We start from the raw sequence: 27,395 nt of genomic DNA on the forward strand, positions 1-27,395 counted from the left end.
TGGCTTACAACCCCTGTGGTGGCTCCAGCACAGTTGAGACCTCTGGCAATGTTTTATACCCCCTGAAACTCAGGGATTTTTTTTTTTTTTTTTTGGCTATGAGGTTGAAACCCCAATCTCCTTGTATACTAACAAAGAGAGAAAAGGCATAAACTTAAGCCACAACTCGGCTGCCATGGACTGCATGTTTGCGCTCCCTGTCCCCTGCATACATACATTCATATGCCAAAACCCTCACTTGCAATGCCATGGTATAAGAAGCCGGAAACTTAGGAAAGTCATTAGGTTTAGATGAGGTCATGTGGGTGGTGCCCTTGTGATGGGACTAGTGCCCTTATAAGAAAAGGAAGAGATGGGAGAAGAGACAGCTTGTAGCTGTCTACAAGCCAGGAAGCAGTCCCTCCCTCACCAGACACCATATCTGCTGGTACTTGATCTTAGACTTCCCAGCATCCAGACCTGTGACAAATAATTTCCTTTTGTGTAAGCCACCCAGTCTGTGAAATTTTGTTACAGCAGCCTGAGCAGACCAAGACACTGTCATAATTAAGTGTTCAACAAATGTTAGGTTGCCCCCCATTTAACTAGATATCAGATCACATTCATTACCTGGACCAAACTTGAACCCTTCTTGAAAAATCCTCCTTGAATAGCACCATTTGAGCCAGTATAAAACATGCTAAGAATGCATTTTCTTATATGAGGATTAAAATAATTATTATTGGTCTTCGTTTTTAATCACTCCATCATTTTTCTTCTATTAATTTTCCTTCCTTCCTTCCTGTTTTCCTTCTTTCCTCATTTTCTTCCCTCCTTCCTTCTTCCCATTTATCTTTCCTTTCTTTCTTCCCATCTTTCTGCTTCCCTTCTTTCACACATATTCCTGAAGCCCTACTATGTGCCAGGCAGCTGTGCTGTGGATACTAGGGTGAATGAGGCAGACAACTCCCTCTTGTTGTAGGTCTTACTGTTTACTGAGAGAGAGAGAGAGAGAGAGAGAGAGAGAGAGAGAGAGAGAGAGAGAGAAAGAGATGTAAACTAGTTGCTTGGATGCAATGAAACCAGTATTCTATGAGAAGTACAAGTTTTTCAGGGAACACAGGGAAAGAACAATGAACTCAGCATGGACTGGATTAGGGGTGTTAAAAGCACTCTCCACTCTCCTAGGGGGTAGCATTTAAGCTGAGACCTAATGGATACAAGGGCACTAGGGGATGAGGGATCCACAGAAAGAGTAGTCTAGACAGCGGGAAGAGCATGGAAAAGGCCACGGGCATAGAACTCCTTCCAGCTGAGAATCAACTTGGCCCTCACATTTCTTTCTGACTAAGGTTCGTCTTCTTTTGTTTGTTTGCTTACAAGTTCCCTAGAAAAGAAAAGAAAGAGTACTTGCACACAAGAGATCAAAATTTTGAAGGGAAGGGTGACACAAAGCAGAAATCTGTGAGCTCCTTAGAGGAAATAGCATTTCTTATAGTACAAGAAAGATCTTTATTCATTATAAGATGGGATTCTGAGACTCAGGAAAAAAATGGGGCTCACTGTGTTATTGAGTTTCAACCACTGGGAGTACTCAAGTAACAGAAGAACTTTAGGGGACCCTCAAGTTGGATCTCTGGAGACCTTCAACAACATTGATGATATTGCTAGCAGGCACTTGGATCAACTGACCATGCTCTGTGAGGCTGGGGAAAGAAGAATATCTGGAAAAGATAACTGGGAAAGAAGATCCAATCAACAGAAGCTGAAGGTGAACCTAAGACCTGAAGATTATAGCCCAATCTTCATCGCTGACTTTGATTCTGCTCTTTTGCTGACAGGAACTCAGCTTGTTTCTCCTTTTAACAAGTAGTACATTAGGAATTGTTGGAGGAAATAAGAGGTTTAATGCATGCTTCCCACCTCCTAAAGAAACAGAGAGGTTACTCAGATATTGAAAACTAAAGCAAAAAAAAAATTCAAGAACGGGAAAGAAAGTCCTTGATTGATGATTAAAACATTAAAAGTAGTATTGTGTCTGGCACATAGTAGGTTTTTATAAATGTATTTCAAGTATTGAATAAGTCAGTGATCTATTATGAAGACGAAAGAAAATAGGCCTGGAAATAATGAATATGGAAGACTTTGTAATGGCTGTGGGATGTGGGCTGAATCTTGAAACATGAGCATGGTCTGAATAGGTAGATAAAGAAAGTGAACTCAGTATGCCATAGCAGAGGGCATAATTTGGGTCAATCTAAGCCTTTCTTATGCAAGGCAAAGACCATGCATTGTCATAGGTTGTTTTTGGTAAGCTTTATTTTGTTTTATTCTATATCCTAATTACCTAATACAGTGGTATTTTTGATGGATTTGCTCTTTTCTGACCTATTTCATTAGATATTAAATACACGATTTCTTACAGTGCCAAGGGAAGAAGGAAAAAACACAGGTTCTATTTTAGTTGAATATAAATATTTTTCTATCCTGTTCTTGTATCAGAATGTGCCCCCTGTAGATATCTCTGAGCTTTATAGGAGCCCCAGCTGTTGTCTTGTACCACTAAGTTCTGCTTGTCAAATTCTGTCCATTTCCGAAATGCACAAGGTGAGGAGAACAACAGCAAGGACTGCACCTTTTGCAAAAAGTCAGCCTGATCCCCTTCCTTGTGAAAGCCCAGGGATTTCAGACTGGCAGATAAAGGACTTTATGGCTCCAACAGCCATGCTGAACTCCAGTGTAATGAAGGCATGCAGGTCAATTACCCATCTGTTTGTGTTTCTATTGCTGTGAATTACAGTATCCATCGCTGACAGCTCATTGGAGTGGAATGAAAATAAGACAATAATTCACCGGGTGAAACTGTGCAGAAAGGGCGAAAAGGCTATGATCTCATTCAGAAGTTCAGCTCTGTCTCCATGATGGGTCATTTACACTCTGGAAAATGAGGAAAGGCAGATACCTGGGGGTTGGTGAGTGGGTTCCTGCTTCCTTGATATAAGAATTCGGAAATGTCCCCTCCTGGTTAGAGTAATCTTTTGTGTTTGTAAATAAAATCATCTGCTCTGCAGGATCTTAAGAAGATTTGGAATCCTTAGGTGAAAGATACAGGTATATGGAATTCAGCACAATAAAATCACCTTTTCAGCAATCAGACGTTTCAAAGGATGAAGCAGGTTGCTTTGGTAGCAGAGGACTCCCCAACACTGGAAGTGTGGAAGCAGAGTTTGAAAGGTGACATGGCACAAACAAATCTTGGTTCCATCAAAGATTCAGATGGCAGGTGGTAGGGTGGGTTATCATTGACCCACATTCAGTGCTCCTTCTTATAATGTCCCCTCTTAGAGATAACTACACATCCCCACTCTCCAAACTTAAACAAGTTCACATGACATGTTTTGGCCAATGAAATATGAGTGCGAGTGATGTGTGTCTTTTCCAAACAAAGCTATAGAAAACAACATATGAGCTCATCAATCTCTCTTTTTACAAGTCCAACAATGTTCCAGATAGGGGCCATCGGAGGAGCAGAATCACAGTAGTACTGTGACCACCATGTAGCATAAGGAAGAAATAAGCATTCACTTTGGCAAATCACTGAGATTCAGGAATTGTTTGTTAGCACAGCATAACCTAGCTTATACTAACAGATACAGGAGTTGACAAACTATAGCCAAATTGACCTGCAGTCTATTTTTATAAACAAATTTTACTGGAACACAGCCATGCAGATAAAAGAGTTGAGCAGTTGCTACAGAGAACATGCGGCCCACAAAGCCTAAAATATTAATTATCTGGTTCCTAACAGAAAAAGTTTGCCAACTCTTCTACTAGATGACCATCAAGATTTTTTCCAACCTGACTTTTCTATGATTCTGCTCTGTGCTGTTGTTTATTCATTTGTCAAGCAAAGATCAATAAGGCATCCATCATGTGCAGACACTGTTCTAGGTTCTAGAGAAAAGACAAGGAACTAGGAAAGGCAAGGACACAATCCTTGCTGTCATGGAACCTACCTTGTAGTGAGGGAGATAAGACAACAAATAAATAAATAAAAATAGAAAGGATTTATACTGATTAGAGGGGTTGGGCCAGAGGGACTTCCAAATGAGAATTTTAACTTCAAAAAAAGATAATATAGCTTAATTTATGAAATCACCAAGGATAAGGAAGCCAGCATACTTTTTTTTTCAATTTCATAAAATTTCAACATGAACATGTTCTTGAAGCTTTAAGAAGAGGTTGGTTCAATTTAAATATAAGCTTCTTCACAGAAGTCATGATACAAACCAAATTTGGTACCTGTAAGAGTCTGTGCTACCTGATCCCTGGATCAGCTGATGTCTTCAAATTATTCTCTTACCCATCTCCCTTCTTTTTCTTGTTATATCCTGCCATACCATTATCTCTGTTCTCCAAGCATGCCAAGTTCTCTCCTGTTCACATTTTGCCTTCAGCTCTCACTAACTGTTTGACCTTGAAGAAGCTAAGAGGCTTAACTTCTCTGATCCCCAGTTTTCTTATCAAAGCTTCTTTCATAAAGCTAGTGTAAAAATTAAATGAGCTATTTTATATCTTGATTGTGGTGGGGGTTACATAACTGAATATGCTTGTCAAATTCATAGAAGAGTCCACCTCAAAAGGGTATATTTGGCTGTATGTAAATTATATGTCAATGAACCTGAAAATAAAATAACATAAATAGCACTTGTGGAGCTCTTAGTACAGGGTAGTTGTTTAAGTGACATTATTTTCTGACCTTGCCCTGTTTTCTATTCCTTTCTCCAGAAGTCTTATGTGGTCTCAGGTAGTCTCTCTGCTGGCAACCAAAAGCACCTTGCACATATTTCAAATCCCAATGGGACACTTACAGTATCATATGTGTGCTCATGTTCATGTCTCTCCTACTCTATAAGCTTCCTGAATGCAAAACACAGCTCATTCATCTACCATTTCCCTGTCATCTAGCACAGTATTGAGTACCCAGAGTACGTGTTTGAATGAAGGCAATTTTAGACAGAATGTGTTTCAGAGAGGACTGTGGTTCTGTCTTCTATGTTTAGCATGCCCCATCTCTACAGCCATCCCTCATTAGCAAAACCTGTATCTTCTTTCACAATATTACAGCTTGAGACACGAGGCTTTTTAAATTTCATCTCAGTAGTTACAGACATGTGCTCAGAAAGATCTGAGTAAAAAAATACATAGGCACAAAGATATTCTTAAGAGAACAATGGTGCTAAAAGACTTGGCCACTAACTTCAGCAAATAATTTGTTATGGATCCATTGCTATAGATTATGATTCTTGAGGACAATAACTTTATCTCTTTTTTTTGCATTCTTTCCAAGGTAACAAGCCCAGTGCTAGATCATAGTAGGTATGCAAAAATTAAAGTACTCAATTGAACATCTATTAAGAAAGTCCTTTCATTTACCACTTTATTAAGCCAGTTCTATACTGGATGCTAGAGATACAAAAAGTGAATATGACATGGTTTATGGCCTCATGGGGCTCTAGTTTGGCACTAGAAAAAGATTTATAAATGTAAAATGACAATAAAATATATGCATACATATGCACGAGTTTGCATAGGAACAAAAAAGAAGACCTCTCTAACTTTTATAATAGTAGAGGAGTTTGGGAAAGTCATTTTGTACAGGATTGAACCTGAATAGTATATATGGTCCAGCATTTGCCAAGTTGTATGCCACAGAATCACAAATCTGCAAATATGCCCAAACCCAAATACATTCAGAAAACTCTGTACTTAATTCACCTCTTTAGACTCATAATACATATTAGCACAGTCAAGACACTGAGAAGTCCTGCAGTAAATAAATGTGGTTTATGTTATTTAATCCAGTGTTTTAATATTAGGGCACTTTTGCTAAATTACTGTGTGGTAACGAATAACCTCAAAATCCCAGTGGCTTATAACCACAAAGGTTGATTTGTTGCTCATATTTCGTGTCAGCTGTGCTTTGGCTCTGCTCCAGATGTCTTCTTCATTTCAGATGTAGGCTAAAGGTGCAGCCTTTTTTCAGGAATATGCCATTCTTATGATAAAGGGAAAAGAGCAAAAGCCATGCCAGACAATGTCTCCTAAAGTGTCTTGCCCAAATGTGTCATGTACCATGTCTCTCACATTCCATTGTCCAAAGCAAATCACATGGACAAGGCCAATGTCACTAAAATGGAAAGTCACAGAGCCTCCCACAGTGCAGTGCTGCCAGTCACATGGAAATGCACTGTATGTATATAATCCTCTTAGAGGAAACGAACAATAATGTAATAATGAAATCTGCCACAAAATACACTTATTTTTACACCAAATCTTTTTTTAATTTAATTACCATATGATTCAGCAATTTTACTCTTAAGTATATATTCAAAAGAACTGTAGACAAGCATTCAAATGAAAACTTGTAAATGAATGTTCATAGCAGCACTATTCATAGTAGTCAAAGGTGGAAACAACCCTAAATGTCCACTGACCAATAAATGAAAAACTAAAATGTAGTATATGTATACAATGAAGTATTAATTCTGCCATAAAACGGAATGAAGTACTGATACATGCTACAACATAGATGAACCTTGAAAATGTAAAATGGAGGAAGCCAGACACAAAATACCACATATTGTATGATTCCATTGATTTGAAATACAGTTATCCCTTGGTATCTGCAGGGGATTGGTCCTAGAATCCCACCCTCCCACCACCCTCTGATACCAAAATCCATGAATGCTCAAGTCCCTTATATAAAATAGCATAGTATTTGCATATACGCTCCACATATCCTTTTTTATACTTTAAATAATCCCTAGATTACTTATGATACTTAATACAATGTAAATGCTATGTAACTGCTGTTACACTGTACTAACTTTTTGTACTTTTTATTGTTGTATTATTATTATTAATTTTTAAATAGTCTCTATCTGGTTGGTTGAAGCCACAGACCCAGAACCCACGGATATGGAACTCAAGGGTATAGAGGGCAGACTGCAACCAGAATAGGCAAATCTATAGAGGCAGAAAGCAGATTAGTAGTTATCAGGGGCTGAAGGGAAGGGGAAATAGAGAATAACTGCTTAGGGGGTATAGAGTTTGTTTTGGGGGTTGTGTAAAGTTGTAGAAATAGTAAGGATATTTGCACAACATTGTGAATGTACTGTTGCTAAATTTAACACTTAAAAATGATTAAAGTGTTAAATTTTATGTTGTGTATATTTTGCAACAATAAACAAATAAGATTCAAAACAAATCGATTCGACAGTTCAAATAACTTTAAACCGTAAACATTTATTGAGCATCTACTATAAGCTAAACACTATGAGAAAGAGAAGCAAATAATGAACAAATGAAAAAGCATATGGTTTCTCCTCTCAGCGATCTCAGTTACAATTTAGTGGCAGACGTGTACAATTGTACACATAAGACAAGACAGAATGTATCTGGAATATAATAGAGGCACATTAAAAATGCTTTGTTGACAGTGCAAAAGGAGAGCTTAATTCTAAGGTAAGTTGTTAGGAAGAAGATAAGAAGTGGCCCAATCATCTTAAAAAATAAACAGGCACCATATCTCCATGGAGTCAATAAACTAATTATCATGGGTAACTTATTTAGGTTTTGGCCATCCTGATGCCTCATTTCTGCACAATCAATGAGATCGACAAGGAATCTAATGGGACATGGTTGTTAAATAGACCAAATTGCCACATCAACCATTTATCTCTCACGATTTCCATGCTGCGTACTTGGCCACAAGTTTATTTGAATGGTATAGCCCCACATGGCTACATACCAAGAAGTAACTCCCTGATACTCCTTCTCTCAGCATCAGTTTATACCCCATCAGTTTGTGCTTGCTTAGAATTCTTTACTCCTTCCTGCCCAAGTCTGAGTCTTTAAGTTCCCTCCAGATTCCAGGTTTCTGTAGGTCAGAAGCAGCTCTTTTTACAGTCATATACTCCTGGGTTGCTGCAAAGCCTAGTATCATCTATTCTAGGGTTTTTTTTTGTCTTCTCCGGTTATAGATCCATTTCAGAATATGAGAATAATTATGGAAATCGGTCACACCTACACAAGTTGGCAAGTAATTTTAGGAAAATCACAGACTGTCTAAAGTAAATAGCAGAACCTAGAAAGGTTATGGTGCTGGCACATGGAAAGGGCTATATAAATTCCTGATCTAGTAAAAACCATGACTATTATATATATGCCCCAGGTTGGGAAGCAAAATTATGTAGAGTTTAAGAATACCAGCACTGAGTGGATCTGGGTTCAAATTCCTGCTCTAAAAGGTAGTTACTTAACTTCTGTGAGCTTCAATTTTCAAATCTGAAAAATGGGACTGTGTTGAGGTTTACATGAAATATTCATGTAAAGAAATGAGCTCTATACCTGGCACATGATAATTATTCACAAATAATAGCCGTTATTGTTAGTATTCTTATTTTATGAACCCTCTTGGTTTTTAGATCAGGTGCTTTCTATGTGATTTCCAAATAAATGAAGAACAATAGCTCTGAGATACATGTGTTCTTATTCCCATTTTACAGATTAAAAGACCTAAGGAAGCTCAGAGGCCTAATTAACTAGTCTTTATCACTGGCAAATCTTCTCTGCCCATCCTCCTCATTCTATCCGATTTCTAATTAAATCTTCTCTGCCCATCCTCCTCATTCTATTCGGTTTCTGATTGAGTCTTTGATTGATATCCTCAATCCCTTTCTTCTTGAGAAGAATCCTTCTCCTCTGGCGAGCATAGAACAAGGTGCTCCTATGTTCATAAAGTAAAAGCAACAGTTGGATGCAGCTAGCTGGGTGGAAATCAGTAATCTCATTTTTCATGAAGACACGAAAGGCACTGCTCTTTCATTGAAAGGGCCTCATCGGCAGAGCCACAGGAAGCCAGGAACATAAATTCCCATTAGTGCCTCCAGGTCCCTGCTAACTGGACAAGAGAGGCTGTAGGCATGAGCCATTGCTTGTGACTCTAGACTAATTCCTAACAAAGATGATTCACCCCAAAGCTGCTGCTGAGACCAGGTACTGGCAACAATCACTTAGTGTATCACCCTGAGGTTACAAGTCCACATAAAGTGATGGGCGTGTGGGAGAGGAGGGGGCTTTAGAAAAAGGAGACCTATTCACTCTCTGTCTTTTCATCCTCTTTGAGCCTCAATTTCTTCATCTGTATAGTGGGGAGCATGATCCCTAACTCTTAGTTGGTGGGATGGATAAATGGGCTAGTGGTTATAAGCTCAATGTCTAAGAAGGATAGCATCTCAAAAAAATGTTATTTTTAAACATTTCTCCTACACTTTCTTTTTCTACTATTTGTTGCAAGATGATTTTGAAAATAGTCATCTTCGCTCCATCTGTGACGTCTAGCTACTGAGAAATGGGATTACCGACACTACTCTTCATCAGACTGCTCCTCTTGCTCTGCCCTGTCCTCTCCCTCTACCCCCTTCTTCACTTCCCCTTCCCTTTCTCTCTTTCCACACTTCTTTCTCTTCCTTTCTTTCCTTTCCCCTTCCTCCTAATCTTCCTTATCTCATTATCTTCCACTGTCAGTCTAGCACCAATTATATTCAAAAACTCAATTCAGCAATTCAGCAAATACATGTATGTACGTGTATACACACACACATAGGAATTATATTATATATAATTCCTATGCCCATGGCACTACATTAAATATTACGAAATGTAAAATTGGCAAGGAAAAATCTTTGCCTTTAAAGAGGCCTATACTCTAATCTAATAGAAAAGATAGAAAACTAAACATAAATGAATATGTTGCAAGGTGAGTAAAATAAAAAAAAAAATCATACTGTAAATGAGGGGTAATCAAAGAGTTATAATGGGATGAGAGGAGGGACATTTTAATCCAGTCCTGTGTATGTGCATGTGTGCATGCAAGATACCATTTTAAATGGTTCCTGAGGACTATGTAGAATGCCATTGAGTAGAGATGGGAATGCAAGGTATCTCTGGTAGAGGATACTGCTGAGCAAAGACGAATGGGAAAGAAGAGGGTGAGTTGGAGGAAAGATAATCTGCGTGATTGCGCGTGTTGGTTATTATCATTGCCTCTTCTAGGAAAGTCCCACCTCCATTGTTCCAATGGGCTTTAGAACTGAAGCTAGAAAGGGAATTTGGGACCCCACGAATGTGGGGAAACCATGGAGTGATTTCAGGCAAGCGTCAGTCCTAATAGGCTATGACTTGGGAAGATTAATACAAAGGGGTGAACTGATGTATATTGAATAAAGATCCATTGAGAAAAATATTAATTACTTGATTGATTCATAAATAAACTGATCAAACTGAGATTATCTTTGAAGTTGCCAAGTACACTTTTTATGTATATGTATTTGGTTTAATCCCCTAGACTGTGATCCTCCACTTTGACTAACACAGTGGTTGTTCTTAATATTTGGCACACCATAAATACTTGCTGTGGTTTTTGTGGAAGGATTTGCTGAGTTCCTGACTATGTAAGGAACACTGCATTTATTCATTCAGCATATATTTAATGAGCACTTGATATTGGCCAAGCACATATGCCATGGAGGATGCAAATATAAATAAAGCAAATATTTTGCAAGTAACACATTGATAGAGGTGGTAAAAATAATACCTAACTTTTTTTAATGCTTAATCTAAGCCAGACATAATGTATATTCTTACATGCATAATACAACAACCATAGGAAGTAAGTTAGTAATAGAGGCTCGGAGGCTGCAGTAACTTATCTGAAACCTCTCAGCCAGCAAATGGTAGAACTAGTACTGGAACTAAGGTCCGTTTGACTCCAGGGCCTTTTCTTGAAACCACTATTCTACATTGTATCTCCTTAGATAAGAAAGAGAGTGACAATGGTCATAATGTAGAAGGTCAGAGAAGCAAAAGAAGCCAGGAGGCTTCTCAGAAGAGGTGGCATTTGGAGAATTCAATGGTATGACCCTTCCTGGAAGATGTAACATCCAAAGCAATAGCAAAAACACATGCCCTTTTGAAGAATGCTGTGCATGCAATGTAGCACAGAGAATGGCATACAGTAGGCCCTCAGGAAATGGTCATTAGGTTGAACTGAATCCAGTATCATGTGGGATAAGAAGTGTAAGGGTTCAAAGAAGAAAACAGAGTTCACTATGGGCTGAGTGATTCATTCATGTATTCATTCACACAGTCGTACAGCAACTATCTTTTGAGCAGTGTCTATATATCAGTCTCTGTGTATTGTGCCAGAGAGAGAGATGGTTCTTATCAAACAAGAATCTAGGACAATTGGAGAGTCAGATTAATAAAAGGATGATGATACTATTGTGTGGCAACTCCTAGAGAAGAAGTTGTGCAGACCATCTAATGGCCTGGGGAGGGGAGTTTAGAGAAGCTTACCTGAGAGAGATGAAAAGTTCAGGAATTGGAGAAAGGCTGTGTAAAAGTGCAGGGCAATAAAAAAATAAAAATAATAGTTTTCAAAAGATGCCTGTAGTGAAATGTAAGAAATGGCATGGGTCTGGAGCATGGATATGGTATATGTTGGGTGATAGCATAAGGCAAAGCCAAGAAGATTGGCAAGGCTTGCATTTGAACAGCCTGGTGTTAAGTTAAGAAATCTAAACTGTATACCAAAACTTTCACGGAGGCTGTGAAGGGCTGTGAGGAGGGAAGCGAGAATCTGATTTGGCTTTAAGAAGATCACGCTGGCTGCTGTGAGTCAACGGATCAGCAGGAGTGAGATCTGAACAAGAAGGCTGCTTTGACCCTCATTGTACTGATCTGGGGAAGGGAGAGATGATGAGACAAGGAGCTGAACCAAGGCAGAGGGTGGAGAAGGAATGATTCTGATGAGGGGACATTTGTGCTTGGCATTGAGAGATGGGCCACATTCAATAGAAGAGAGTGAGGATGTCATTTTAGGCATGAAGAGAGTCCGGGTGCATGAGTGATAGGAAATCTTCTAGTCTAGAAGGAGCTGAGGTTTCAAGCAGAGATAGAAAAAGAAAAGGTCAAAGAAGAGGAAGAAGATGGGAAGAAGAAGAAAAAAGAGGAGGATGAAGAGAAGGAAGATAAATGATTTAAGACCAAGAAACCAGATAGACCATTTGAATGTGAAGATTTGGAGAAGGCTCTCAAAACACAAGTCTCGGGTGGCCCTGTTGGAGATTCAGGCAGAGGGCAGACGATACCTCAAGTTAGTGGTCTTTGACCCCATCTCCCTTCCCTGGCCTACCCTCCCATCTCCTAATGATCTCTATCCTCCTTGCATTCATCCTTACCTTTTGGAAATTGGGAATAAGCTAATGACCTCACTCAATTTTTCAGGGGAAATACCTTATGACATTGAATCTACAAATCTAAGATGATATTTACTATAAAACACACCACTGTTTTATGTATACTAAGAAAATAATACCCTGCCAAATTAAACTAAGACACATCATCAATAATAAAAAGCATTCTAATTTCAGAGGTATTAAAATCTGAAAAATCATACAATTTAAAATCTATGATAGGCAATCAAGAAATAAAGATCAAGAAAATGTCTCCATTATCACATGTACAAATTGTACTAGCCTCTGATCTCAGGTTCTCCTTTCCCTCTCTGCCAAGAATATGTGCTCCTATCTAAGGCAAATAATTCCAGTTATGCACAAGACCCTATTCACTCTTGCCTGCTCCACTTTGATTGTAAAACCATTCCTCCCATTTTTGCAGTATCAATTTTTCCCTCTCTACAGAATAATTCTCAACATTAGACAAAAGTTTTGTTGCTTCTATATTAAAAAGAAAAGAAAAATATCACTTTACTCCTGATCACCTTAAGCTATTGTGCCATTTACTATAATACTACTCTGTAGAGTTTGCCCTTGAATTTCACTTGAATTTGCTCCAGAATTTCACCCCCAGAATTCCATTGAAAACATCCTTTGTCATCAGTGACCCATGTGTTGCTAAATATCATCCTCAGTTCTCAGTCCTCACTTTAATTATACTATTAGCAGTATTTGACGCAGTTACTGCTGTCTCTGTTTTGAAAAACTTTCCTTATATAACATCCAAGATTCTATACTCTCTTGTCTCTCTTCTTACTTTTCTGGCCACTCTCCAGCTTCCTTTTCTTGTTCCTCATCATCATTCTATCATCGCAACTTTTAACATTAATTTCTCCATGGCACAATAACTGAATTTTTTTTTCTCTATCTACCCTCTCTCCCAAAGTAATCTTGTTCAATCTCAGATAATTAAATAGTATTTATATCCTAATTTATATTTTCAGTTTTCTCCTCTTACCTTTCAAATGTCTTCCACTCAACATCTACATTTGGATATCGAATAGATTTGTCAAACGTAGGTTCCAACTCAACTAGGTTTGAACGCATTTTCACATGTCCCATCAAAACTGGTCCTTACCAGTCTCATCATAGCAATGTGACAATTCTACCATTGTAGTTGCTCAGGCAAAACTTTGGGGTCATCCTTGACTTCTCTCTCTCACAAATACTTTTGAGTTCATTACCAAATCATGTCAGGCTAACCTTAAAAATTCATCCATAAATTCAGTCACCTCTCACCACCTTCATTGCAACTGTCATGATCTAAGCCACTGTGTTCTCTCACCTGGATAAACATGACAGCCTCCTAACAACTGATATCCTACAACTGTTCTTGCCCTCTACAGTCTTTCTTACTTAATAGCTGTAGTTATCTATTTAAAATCTAAGTCAGGTCAAGTTACTTCTCTGCCTAAATTTTCAATTGCTTCTCATTGCATCTAGAGTAAAATCTGATATAAAGTTTTTGCCATGTTCTACAAGTTTCTACATGACCTGCTCCTTCATTATTTCTCTGATTATAAAGAAGTTTTTTTATTTATTGTCTGCTTTTGCCATATCCACACATCAATTATAAGCTCAAAATGATTCATTTATCTTATTCACTGCTGTATATCTGGCTTTAAAAACATACCTGACCATACAGTTGGTGCTCTGTAAATATTGCTAAATAAATAAATTAGTAAATGTATGAAAGAATAAATTTCTGTATCATCCACAGATTTCAGCAAAATATTCTCTCTGCATCCCTTTCCACATCAGGGAGCTACTGAGGCACAGCTTTGCTCCCTGTATACTTCGCCATATGGATACTAGATTAAATTACATGACAATGTTGGTAAAACATTCAATGGGCTTCTTGGAAAGAGAAGTATGAAAATAAGAAGTTATCATTATGCCATTAGTGTTATTACCACTATTTGAGCTGTTACTGCTATGACTACTAATAGCCTCTGATCATTCTCATGATGCTTTCTTTCTCATTTCTAATCTCCTCCAATCCTGTTCTTTCTTTTTTTTTTTCTATTTTGCTTTACGTTTGCCTTGTTTTAATAAACATTTCATGAAACATCACAAGGTGAAAGTCATTAGAGTGCCATTGATATTGTTCTCAATCCACCAAAGTAGCCTTCTGCAGAATCTGCCCTCCCAGCCTCATTCAAAGGAATGAGAAGAGGAAGAGAGAAATATAGAGGAAACACATTTGAAGAAGCTTGAAGTTAGGCTGAGTTAAAACTGCAGTTCAGCCACTTATTAAATAACCTCTCTAGGCCCTGGTTTCTTCACCTGCAAAAATGAGAATGTTATTTATGCCTTCTTCATGGGAATCATGTTGAGGATTAAAAATATAATAAATACAATTATAAAATAAAAACAAGTTAAAAATATACATAAATAAGCAAAAATAAATCTAATAAAAATAAATTAGCACAATCTCTGGCATATGAGGAAGCACTGAAAAAAATAATATCTATTGTCATTCCTGGCTCCTCTAACCTCAGTTCATGCAGCCTGTCCTCCAGCTGGGCTGAACCACCTCCCACTTTCCCATGCCTCTCCCCTTTATTCATGTTCTTTCTTTGCAGAGGATGTCAACATGGGACATGTTATTAAATAAAACCTAAATAGATACGTATTGTATACACAGAAATGCATACATACAAATAAAGCATGTGCAGCTTTTTGAATTTTCACAAAGCAAACACATCCATGTATTACCAACCGGATTTAAAAAACAGAACATTACCAATATCCCCAGAAATGTCTCTCACCCCTTCAGCCACTACCCCATTCCTCTCCCTAAAGGTTAACACTCTCTGGACTCCTAAAACCGTGTATTTGTTTTTACTTTTTTTTCACCCATCTAGGAATAGAATCCCACAGCCTGTACTCATTTACGTCTAACTTGTTTCACTCAATGCTGTGTTTGTAAGATTCTTCCATATTGTTGTATGAAACAGTGGTTTATTCTTTCTTATTTCTGTATAGTAAGCTCATTGTATGAATGTATGACAATTTATTTATCCATTTTCTTGTTGATGGACATTTGGGTTGTTTCCAGTTGGAGTTATTTGAAATAGAGTTGCTGTGAACATTTATGTCTTCTGGTGAGCATGTTTTCATAGGAGTCAGGATTGATGGGTCATTGACCAAGGACACGTGCAGTCTTTTGTAGACACTGCCAAGAATTTTCCGAAGTGATTGTACCAATTTGTGTTCCTATAAGCAATGTGCCTAAGTTCCCATTGCTTCACATTGTCCCTCCTTGATATTGTCAGTCTTTTTGATTTGAGTCATGCTCATTGCTGTGTTATATTAAATTGTGACTTTAATTTACACTTTTTTTCCTGACTAGGAGAGTTGAGCACCTAAGTGTTTATTTGGCATTTTGACACTCTTGTTTGTGAAGTGCTTGTTCATGTCTTTCATTCATTTTCTTTTCTTACAAGACTATTTCCCTTTTTCTTTTTGACTTCAGAAGTTTTAAAAATATGTATATTCTGTATTCTATAAGTGTTCTTTGTCAGGCACATGTATTACAAATATTTTCTTCCACTCTATGGCTCATATTCTTATAATATTAATAGTATTTTGATGAACATAAATTATAATTTTAATGTATCCAATTTATTAGCCTTTTTTTCTTATACTTAGTGTTTTTTTGCATCCTACTGAATAAAAATGAGCTCACTCAAAAATCATGAGATAATCTGTCTTATATTTTAGAAGTACTTTTGTTTTGCCTTCCACTAGGAGAATATGATACTTCCTCAGATATTTTTTTTCCTATGACTCCTCTAGACAGAATGAATCTGAACAGACAGAATGAATCACTCCCTTTTCTGAATCCCCATAATGCCATGTCTTATTTTATTATGACTATTAGGTTATATATTATCTTGAGTCATAGATACTTGCCCATCTATCCTTTCTATCTCATCCCCACAAGCCATTCACCCAATTGTCTAAATTCTATATGGTCTTTTCACTAAATCCTCGTCATAATGCCTCCTAAGTAACTCTGGGATTGCTCCATTTCTGTCCATCTCAACTGGTACCCCCATGGTCTAAATCCGTGGCATTTCCTCTTGAGTTCTGTAGTAGCCCCCTAAATGTCACCAACCTCTAATCCACCCCCTCTAATTAACTGTCCACACAAGAGTCAGAATGATCTTCTAAAATATCAATCTCTTCATGCTACTTCTTTTTAAAAAACCATTCCATGGTATCCATTGCTCTCAAATTAACTTTCAACTCATTAATGTGCTGCAGAAGCCTTCTAGGACTTGAAAGATTATCTTGTCTTTCTCACCATTGATGTCTGTGCTTTAATTTCACATGAGTTTCTTATTTCTTTGAATACCCCTTCATAAAGATCCTCTGTCTGCCTCTCTATCCATGCCTCTGTCCTCCTATTCATCCTTCAGGTCTTATCCTATATATCTTTTTGGCAGAAAACTTTCCTGACTCCCTGGTACGTTAAGTCCCTATGCTATCTCGTGCCATATAAACCTTATACTTTTTCTCCATTAAAATTTATTATGCCTACTCTTGTTTGTTTGAAGCTCATCTTCTCTAATAGAATGTATATTTCCTTGGGGCAGAAACAATGTCTGTCTTGTTCACGACTTTATTTTTTTTGTCTATCTCATTACCAACATGAGTTCTTCAAAAAATATATTTGTTGACTTGAACTGATTTATGATTATATGCCTGGGGTCTAGTATTGGCTTTGGCATGTAGTTAGTCTCAATAAAGGTTTTATAATTCATCATTTTCATAAAATCCTAGAATCAGTGTTGAGAAGAACTTAAAACCACCTGCCTCAATCACCCAACCTAACTGATGCTTAAATAATCTCTATAACATTTGCACCAAATATAATCTACTTATAATTCTCTGACAACAGGGAGTGACTGCATCCTTCAGCAGATCATTCCAGATTTGGTCATAAATGTGTACTAGAAAGATCCATTTTACATTGAGTTAAAAGCTGGGATCCTTGTAACTTCTCCCTTCCTACTAGATTGGGATTGGTCCATTTTATTAATATTAATGGGATTGATTATCTTTTCTGCAAGGCAGCCTTTTAGATACCTGCAGCAAGTAATTTTTGCTTCAATTTAACCTTCTTTTACTATTTATCATAGTAAAACACTTTCTCAAGAAAAACTGCAGTTTCTCAACATCCCTCCTGGAGTGTGATGCTCAAACACGGATCCAATCCTCCAGGTGTACTCTAACCCATCTAGGGTAGGACAGTAGGCCTGCTACCACCCTTTCCATTCACAGCATCCTTCTAATAATGTTATCATGGCAGATCTAGATTTTGGAGAACATAAGTCTTATACACTAGCTGTTTTATTTAAAAAATAAATTCAAAATTAGATAGGAAATCAAGTGTGTATTTAGAATGAGAAAAGGTGGGTACTTGGAAGGTGCAGAATCCTTGAACCTTAAGCTTCATTGGCTTCAGGTAAATCAACCTCTAAATGTCCCTAAGATCTCAGTAATTTCCTTGGTAGGAATATGTCATTAATTCCTTCTATTTCTGTTCCAATTATAACTCACAATCTTTCCACCCTCAGTATGCACAGCAGGGTGATCAAACACAGACTGGAGCTTCACTGCCTGGATTCAAATCCTGGCTCCCACTTCACACAGTCTCTACAGGTATCGCATGAACTAACACATTGAAAACCCTGGCACACACAAGGAAGATCTGTCTTTCTTATCTACTTTCTTAACAGGCATTAGTAAATCTTTCTGTCTACTCTTTTTTCTGTCTACTCTTTTTTCTGCTACTCTTTTCTGTCTACTCTTTTTTCTGCTAAAGAGGGCAGGGTTACGCTCCATGTATTTAAGTTTCTAGTGTGTTGTGTTTTGTTATTTAATAGTAAACCACTTTCTTGGCCTGAATTTCCCTGAGGGATTTTCATTCACTGCCCTCAAGTGACACTACCAAGCCCTCCATGCATGTTAGAAAACAGAAGATATTTTCTAACCACCTTCTGTAACGGGAGCATGAATCAAAGAGTTGCCAAAAGGAACCAGAAAATAAAAGTCACATTAGTCTCCTCTTAGCTTTACCTGCCAATCTCAACCCAACTTCCTCCCACTGACATTCAGAATCACCTTTATCATATACCTTTCTAGAAGGTCACATTTTTAGTCTGCTCAAAGTTAAAGCATGTCATTTTTTTTTCTGACTCTAAAGTTAATACATGATCATTGTAGAGAAGTTAGAAAAGAAATTAGATGCCTAAAATACATCATCGGTAACCTAGAGATCCAGAAGTAAGCTCTTCTAATACCTGGGCATATTTTCTTGCTACATTATTATTATTATTATTATTATTATTATTTTGAGGTGGAGTCTTGCTCTGTTGCCCAGGCTGGAGTGTAGTGGTGCATGATCTTGGCTCACTGTAAACTCTGCCTCCCGGGTTCATGCCCTTCTCCCACCTCAGCTTCCCGAGTAGCTGGGACTACAGGCGCCTGCCACCACGCTTGGCTAACTTTTTGTATTTTTAGTAGAGACGGGGTTTCACCGCGTTAGCCAGGATGGTCTCAATCTCCTGACCTCGTGATCCGCCCGCCTCGGCCTCCCAAAGTGCTGGGATTATAGGCATGAGCCACCGCGCCTGGCCATTATTATTATTAGTACTGAGACAGAGTCTTGCTCTGTCGCCTAGGCTGGAGTGCAGTGGCGCAATCTCGGTTCACTGCAATTTCGGCCTCCTGGGTTCAAACGATTCTCCTGCCTCATCCTTCTGAATAGCTCGGACTATAGGCGCACACCACCGCGCCCAGCTAATTTTTGTATTTTTAGTAGAGACTGGGCTTCACCATATTGGCCAGGCTGGACTTAAACTCCTGACCTCGTGATCCACCCACCTCAGCCTCCCAAAGTGCTGGGATTACAGGTGTGAGCCACTGCACCCTGCCTATTTTTATTATCTCTTTAAATTATTAAGATCATGCCACCCATTCCATCAGAAACCTTTTATTTATTAACATTATATCACATTATTTTTACATATTATTGGAAATTCTTTATAAACATCAGTACCAGTTTAATATTATGTTGTATTAATGCAATATAATTCACTTAGTCTTCACATGTGAAAAATTAAAATCCTTACTTTTTTTGATATAATACATTATGCTTTTTAAAAACAGTGCTATGTGTACTTAAAGCCTTGTCCAACTTTTCCCTGCAATCTCCTCTCCTTTTTATGATGTGAATTAATAAAGATGAAATTACTATTTTAAAGGATATATTTTCTTTAAAATAATGTATATGGAGCCCCAAACATAAACTTGACATATACAGCATATACAGACACCAAAGAAATGTAGATATTTATAAATACAAATTAATTAAAGCTCACATTTCCTTACTATCTGAAAACTAATTAATAATCATGAATTTACTGTCCTGCATATGTTAAAAAATTCTAAATATATATGTATACACGGTATCATAACTGTCTAATTTCCATATTTGCAGTTTTCATTAGATTTTCTATGCTTCCTCTTCTTTATTCTCCCTTCACTCCATCCCTCCTGATCCCCTCTCCCACATATCACATCCATGATGTTTCCCCCAACTGACCCCACTTTTTCCACTGGCTTCCTACCTTGAAGGTGCAGTTTGCTCTCCGTGCTTTGCAGAAGGACGGAACTCACAGAGTCCAGATTGTCATAGCTGTTACAGCCCAGAGGCCCAGTGCGTGTCTCTGTGACCTGCAGTAGATATCAAATAAGATAGGTGTGAGACAGCAGTCCTTGTCTAGGACATACCCCAAAGAGTCATGCCCCAGCAGAGCAAAGCCTGCAGAAAAGGCCTCCTGGTTTGAGTCAATGGTCACTTTCTGAGCTTCGTGCTTGTGTCTGGGACCAAGCACAGCTGTCACTGAGTAGACAGGTAAGCAGGGTGGTCAAGCATACAGAGTGCATGCCTGTTCCTACCACTGGTTCTCACTTCACACGGTGGCTGCAAGTAGACATGAACTTAGAAGTTGACACATTATATTTCAAAAGCATTGGCTTTGGAATCAGAAAAAATAGTGTTAAATCCTGCCTAGGCCATGTATTTACCCTGGGACCTAGGGAAGCCAATTAATTTCTCTAAGTATCTGCAAATCAAAGCTAGTAAATCTCTTCCAGAGAGGTTGTGAGACCAGGTACGATGGGTCTAAACGCCTGGCACATGGCATGTGTTCCATAATGGGTACCTTATTACAAAATGGCTCTATAAGTTATAATGAGTACATATACACTATTATTAGGCAAGAACAAGAAAACGATGCCCATTTTCCTAAAGAAGTTTTAGCAAGAAGCATTGTGCTGCCACAGGAGAAAATGACCCAATCCTGTGGATGTGCATTTCCAAAACATTGTCTTAGAAAGACTTGAGGTGGTGGGTAAGAGAGGAACAGCTATTCAAAAAGATAACCTTGAAATAAGAATGGCTTAGTATGAAAAGAAGCCTCTTCATTTATTTAGCCTTTGCTTCCCATTATTTAGGGTTGTTTTGAAGTTTGCATTCAGCTATAAAAACACAGCATCCATTGTAAGGAACAATGACTTGGGAGGCAGCCACATGCACCTTCTCTGCCCTTTTCCAGCTGTGAAACCTTGGATCAGTAACTTTCTCTTTCTAAGCCTCAACTTCCCCATCTATAAAATGTTAGTAATGCTATTAGTCACCAAAATAGGGTCAAGAGATTATATTTTTGAAGGGTTTAGCACTTCGGGTGCAGTCATATTTAGTAAATGGGGAATAATTAGGTTTTGTATTTTTCGTTTTGTTTTACAAATAATTTATTTTTATATAAAAATAATAACATATTTATTATTGAGAGAGAGTAAAACTTACCAATTTACTTTCCTAAAGATACCTCTGCTGGGGAGAATGGTGAATGGGCAAAACTTCTCCGCCCGGGTTAGTGGCTGGTCTTAAACAGACCCAGGCCAGCTGCAGTGGTTCATGACTGTAATCCCAGCACTTTGGGAGGCTGAGGTGGGTGGATTACAAGGTCAAGAGATTGAGACCATCCTGGCCAACATGGTGAAACCCTATCTCTACTAAAAATACAAAAATTAGCTGGGCATGGTGGCGCGCACCTGTAGTCCCAGCTACTTGGGAGGCTGAGGCAGGAGAATCGCTTGAAACCGGGAACTGGAGGTTGCAGTGAGCCAAGATCATGCCATTGCACTCCAGCCTGGGTAACAGAGCGAGTCTCCATCTCAAAAAGACAACAACAACAACAAAAACAGACCCAATAGTGAGACAAGTTTTAGACAGCTTGGTCTTGAGGTAGTGGCAAGAAATGGCATGAAAAATCCAAGGGCCAAATTAAGTGCAGAAGACAGTGCCTACCATAAGAAATGGTTTCTTGAGTGGCCTCTGCAATTTCTCTGAGAAATTCCTCCTATGGAGGCAGACTGCACTTCTAGGATACACGAAGGAGGATTATCTTCTGACAGAGCTTCAATATCTCAATTCCACATCCCATCCAGCGAGGAGAGAACCATTTGGTGATAATGAAAACCAGGCCTCTGCAGCACTCTGACTCCGATGGCTTCATAAAGATCCATCTCTCTGTGCTGAGTTCCCTAACAACATAATCTCCCAAATACAGGCGATTCTTTTCGGATAAACTGGCCCTTTGTTTGTTGGTCTGATTTATTTCTCTCCTTACTACCTCCCTGCTCAGTAACTCTCTCCCTCCCACACTTTTCTCTCTCCTTAGTCAATTTCTGACTCATCTGCCAGCCTTGGCAGGGTAAGACCCCTTGGCCTTATCCTCACCGTTTTTCCCTATAGATATCTTGGAAAGTCTTAATATAAGGCTAGGTCTGCATTTTCTTTAGAAGAAATTAGAGTAAAGACTGAGATGTAAAATGCAGGCATAATCTGGTTAAAGAACATTTGAGATGGAAACATCTGCACTAAAACCCTCAGAAGAGCAAACATTTTATGTCGAGGATGTCCTCCCACATTCGCTTTATAGAGGCTGTCTGAATTTGTTGTGTTTAAAATGGAATCTTGTTAAAGTTCCTGTGCTCTAAGCACTGAATTGAAAGTCCAGGGCTGCTTTTCTCAATGTGACCATTTAATTTTTAATTAGCTAAAATGGAATAAACTTAAACAATGAGCTCCTTGGTAGCCATATTTTAGGTGTTCAATAACCCCAGGTGACTAGTGGCTACTATCTCGGCTAGCACAGATACAGGGCCTTTCCACCATCTTAGAAGGTACTACTGGACGGTGCTGGTGTAGGCGAGCCTAGATCAGCAAACCACAGAGTGCCTGTTTTGGTAAATATAGTCATATTGGAATACAGCCATGCCCATTTGTTTTTATATCATCTATGGCTGCTTTTATGCTACAACAGCAGGGTTGAGTAATAGCAACACAGGCCATACAGCCCACCATGCCTAAAATAATTATTGTTTGGTCTTGTACAGAAAACTTTTGCTGACTGCTGGTCTTGAGAGCAGAGTTCTAGTCCCTGTTAAGTTATTCTCTAACTGTATAACCCTCAGAAAAAGGCTTTAAACCTTTAGCCTCAGTTTTCCCATCTTTAAAATGGTGAGTGGGGAGGAAAGAATAAAAAACATAGATGTTTAAAATATTACTGAGCTAGGCATCAGTAATCTAATCGCTGCTATCTCTGAGACCTCGGGAAAATCATTTACCTCTTCATAGTCTCTGTTTCTTCTCTAGAAAGGGGATCTGATAATCTCCATACAGAAGACTGAATGAGAGAACTGTTGATAGTTATGCCATGACTACAGCCAGAATACTCTAGCAAATCAGTACATATGGCCACTGGAATGACAGTGCACATTGATATTAATTACAGGGTATGTGACAATATCAGTCAAAGCAGCTGGCAGAGGGCATCACGAGCTACATGGTTATGAACCCAGAAATTACATCTGTCCATCCACTCTCAGAATGCCTGCATTGCAGTGTTGTTGTATTGAGAACCTGTCGCCCAAATCCACCCCGGAGCTGTACCTTGATTGCTCCAGTTGATATCTGGATCTCATGAAGCCTCCTCATGGTACCATCACGGTCAACAAAGTAGGATGATGCGAGCTGGTGCAGAGCTTCAACACTTTGAGTGGCATTCCCTGACTTCCTGTCGAGGCGACTTTTGTCCATATACATGGTCAAAGCCTCCTCCCCTGGATGGGAAAGAAAAGTAGATAAGAAGGTTTGTGGAGCTTTCATGTGAGAGGACAGGGATGGGACCTGGATGCTGAAAACAGCCTTAAATCTCCAACCAATGTGGCCCATGTTTCCTTCTGCCTCTAAAAATCAAAGGCACAATGAAAATAAACTGTCTAGAGGTGGCTGTAAACACCAGGCTTCATTAGGACAAGGATCATTAAAAAACCCCCAACAATAAAGTCCAGCCCCTAATAATTGACTTCATGCTTCTCACCAGCATCATCTTATAACAAAACCCTCTTCCCCTCTTCCAAGAAAGTTCAGTCTCTTCTATACAATGGCAAATGTGGCATAGACATTCTCTTCTCATTCTTTTCTCCTCCTCCTTTGTCTCCTCATTATCATGCAGTTCCTCCTTTTCCTCTACTCTCCCATCTCCCCTTCATTTCTTTCTCCTTTCCTTTTTCTCTTTCCCCTCCCCCTGATCTTTTCTTAATAGATAAATGAACGGTGGATAGCTAGAAAGAGATATTTGGATGGAAGCAAATGGATGAATGATAGACATGTTTAAATAAATTTAGATGCAAATATAAAAATTTATACATTTTCTTCTTTTAAGTTTTTCTTAGACATGCACACATAGATCAGTAACACTGCTAACTATGATGACTTTTAATTTGGGTAAAGAACTGTTTCTCCAGAACTCCAGAAAGGAAGCTCCAGGGAGCTGCCTCTATTCTCTATCAACTATGTGAACAAGGGCATGTTTCTTTTTTCTTTTTTTTTTTTTCATTCTAAGAAGCTTTATTTGGTAAACAGTTGAAAACCTGAAGCTACATTATCACAAACTGGTGCAAATTTTTTTTTAAGTTCTGGGGTACATGTGCAGGATGTGCAGTTTTGTTACATAGGTAAACAAACGTATGCCATGGTGGTTTGCTGCACCTATAAACCCATCACCTAAGTATTAAACCCAGCATGCATTAGCTATTTTTCCTAACGCTCCCCCACCCTACCCCTCTGACAGGACCCAGTGTGTGTTGTTGCCCTCCCTGTGTCCATGTGTTCTCATCATTCAGCTCTAAGTGAGAACATGTGGTGTTTGGTTCTCTGTTCCTGCCTTAGTTTGGTGAGGATAATGGCTTCCAGCTCCATACATGTCCCTGCAAAGGATATGATCTCATTCTTTTTTCGGGCTGCATAGTATTCCATGGTGTATATGTACCACATTTTCTTTATCCAGTCTATCATTGATAGGCATTTGAGTTGATTCTATGTCTTTGCTATTGTGAATAGTGCTGCAATGAACATATGTGTGCATGTATCTTTGTAATAGAATGATTTATATTCCTTTTGATACATACTCAGTAATGGGATTGCTGGGACAAATGGTATTTCTGGTTCTAGATCTTTGAGGAATCACCACACTCTCTTCTACAATGGTTGAACTAATTTACGTTCCCACCAACAGTGTAAAAACGTTTGTTCAATTGATTTGTCCTTTTTTTCTCAATTGATTTCTCCTTTTTGTCTTTTTCAGTGTAGCTGCAAGAAAATTTAAAAGGAGCTTATGTGACTCACACTTGGGGTGACATCATATATCTATTGGCTAGTGCTGGTCTAGGGATACAGAGTCATAGGAGATCATTTTAATATACCAGGTGAATAGCCAAGGTAAGGGAGTGCACAGAATGCAACGCAGACCAGAGAAAGAGTGGGCACCTGCATCCTGTAGATAATGTGGACCACAAGGCCTGGATGATCTGGGCACTCCAGCTATAACTTTTGCTGCTCTCTGTGTTTGCTCTACCCTGTACAAATGTGCCCCATTTTCCCTCGTCGTTAGGACTTCTATTTTTCTGTTTTTCTCCCGGCTAACTTATAGTCATCCTTCAGGTATCACCTAAGACAGCACTTCTGGGATGCCTTCCCTTAGTCCTTCACTCCTTACCTGAACTAGATTAATAACTCTCAGGTTTTACAGGCCAAGGCTTGAGTTGAGTTCATGGTAAAGCACTTGGCGTTTGCAGTTTTCCTAGAAGCTTTACTGTTACGTAGTAATACATGATTGTCTATCCTTTGGCCCCCACAGCAACCTGAATAGATTTGGCTTAAAACTGATGCTATATCCAATTAGACTTTGAGTTCTGGGGGCCATGGGAAGTGGAGCAGGGGAACAAGGACTCCATCCAATTCACCTTTCTAATGTTCCAATGCTTATCCTAGGGTCTGATGAAGAATAGATGTTCAGTTATCAGTTGATGGATAAGTAGATAGATAGATAGATGAGTGGATGGGTGTATAGATGAACAGACAGCTGAGTGGAAAGGTAAAAGTTAAACAAGTGAATATGCTAAGAGTTTGAGCCATGAGGCAGAGGAAATAAATGTTCCATGTGTCAGCTCAGGCTCTCTTAGGGGCCTGTGAAGGAGAAGGTGAAACAAGCCCGGTTCCCTCTGGACTGAGAACTGGCAGAAGCAAACCTTTAGATCAAGAGGGGTTAATGGGCTTCTTGCTGCATTATTAAGGCTTAATTTCTTGTTTATTAAGAGAATGTTCTGTTTAGAATTGCTTTCCCCCTTGGGCATTCCTGCAAATTGCCTCTTCGCCCCACATAGGCCTTTTCTGAGTCTTTCTGTTCTCCAGGAGACTTCACCTCACTGCAGCACCTTGTTTCAGAGGTGAAGAAAAGGGGACTCTCAAAGGGAATGAGGAAGAGTGGAAGCTGATCCTATTACTTTTTGAGTCAATAGGAGATTTTGCTCCCAGATAGGAGATGAGGTGTCTGGACTTTAGCCCTCTGGGACATAACTCTTCCTTTCCTTCTGAGCCCCTGGGATTTTATTCTCAGCCTTCCTCTTAGTCAAGGGGACTTCTCCCAAAATGCAGGGAGGGAAATAGTGAATATACAAATAAACAAAAAAGATGAGCCCTCATGTATAAAAAGACATCCATGCAATACAAACGCTCATATGCATGTGCAAGCTCACATACACACACACACACACACATATACATGTTGCAACCATATATATGTGAATGATGTGTACACGTGTGTGCAATGTGCATGAATACATGCTCATGTATAAATTAACTCATATCTAAGCAGGAATAGGCTTTGTGAACATCTGTCTATACAGGTAGGCATTTGTGCACATCTGTTTACACAGATGTACTTCCATGCACGCATAGTCATACATCCAAGCTTAACCACACGTGTCACACAGGCACCCAGTCTCCAAGGTGGTTCCTGCAGCCCCAAGATATGGTCATCAGGGGGACTAAGGAAAATTTCTATGCCTGTTTTCTTGTGTGTTTTTCCCTTCACCCCCCTTCATAGGAGTATTCACATGATGTATTTTATTAGTTTAATAGATTTCACCAAAAATCTGGAGATCCCATGGAAATCTCTTATTTGTTGGCCCTCCCATCACCTCTGCTTCTCCATTCCCATAGCCTTCCCTTCCTCTTTCCTCTTCCTAAAGAGTGAAACAAACACATTTATTTGTCTCATAGGTGACAGGTTAAGAAGCATCTTTTAGTATTTGATTATCCCCTTGTGAACTTACCTGACATGTCGAAGAGTTTATCAAAGCATTTTTTCTCAATGAACACAGTGGTCTTAGAAAAAAATTACAGTGAATAAAATTATTTGCACCTCCTTCTTTATAGATAAAGAAATTTATATTCAGACAGAAAAGTGAGTTTCTCAGTGTCTCCCACTCATCTAGTGAGTAGCAGAATTGGGCCTTAATCTGGATTCCCAAGTTTCTTAGCCCCATTAAGTAACAACAATAATAGTAAGAACAAGAGTAGTAACATAGCAACAATTTGTTAAGTGTCAGACAGTGTGCTAAGCACTT

General features: G+C 38.8%; 1 protein-coding gene across 1 annotated transcript in view; it reads right to left on the reverse strand.

The window, feature by feature from the left end:
• BRINP1 (BMP/retinoic acid inducible neural specific 1) overlaps positions 1 to 27,395 on the reverse strand; it is a 202,807-nt gene that overhangs the window by 52,042 nt on the left and 123,370 nt on the right. The window contains exons 4-5 of the mRNA NM_014618.3: positions 23,377 to 23,546; positions 19,985 to 20,090 (exon numbers count right to left, since the gene is read on the reverse strand). Coding sequence (NP_055433.2) covers positions 19,985 to 20,090; positions 23,377 to 23,546 — 276 coding nt within the window. The remainder of the gene's footprint in view (positions 1 to 19,984; positions 20,091 to 23,376; positions 23,547 to 27,395) is intronic.

The sequence above is a fragment of the Homo sapiens genome, chromosome 9 (genome assembly GCF_000001405.40).
Source record: "Homo sapiens chromosome 9, GRCh38.p14 Primary Assembly".
In the NCBI taxonomy this organism is placed as follows: domain Eukaryota; kingdom Metazoa; phylum Chordata; class Mammalia; order Primates; family Hominidae; genus Homo; species Homo sapiens.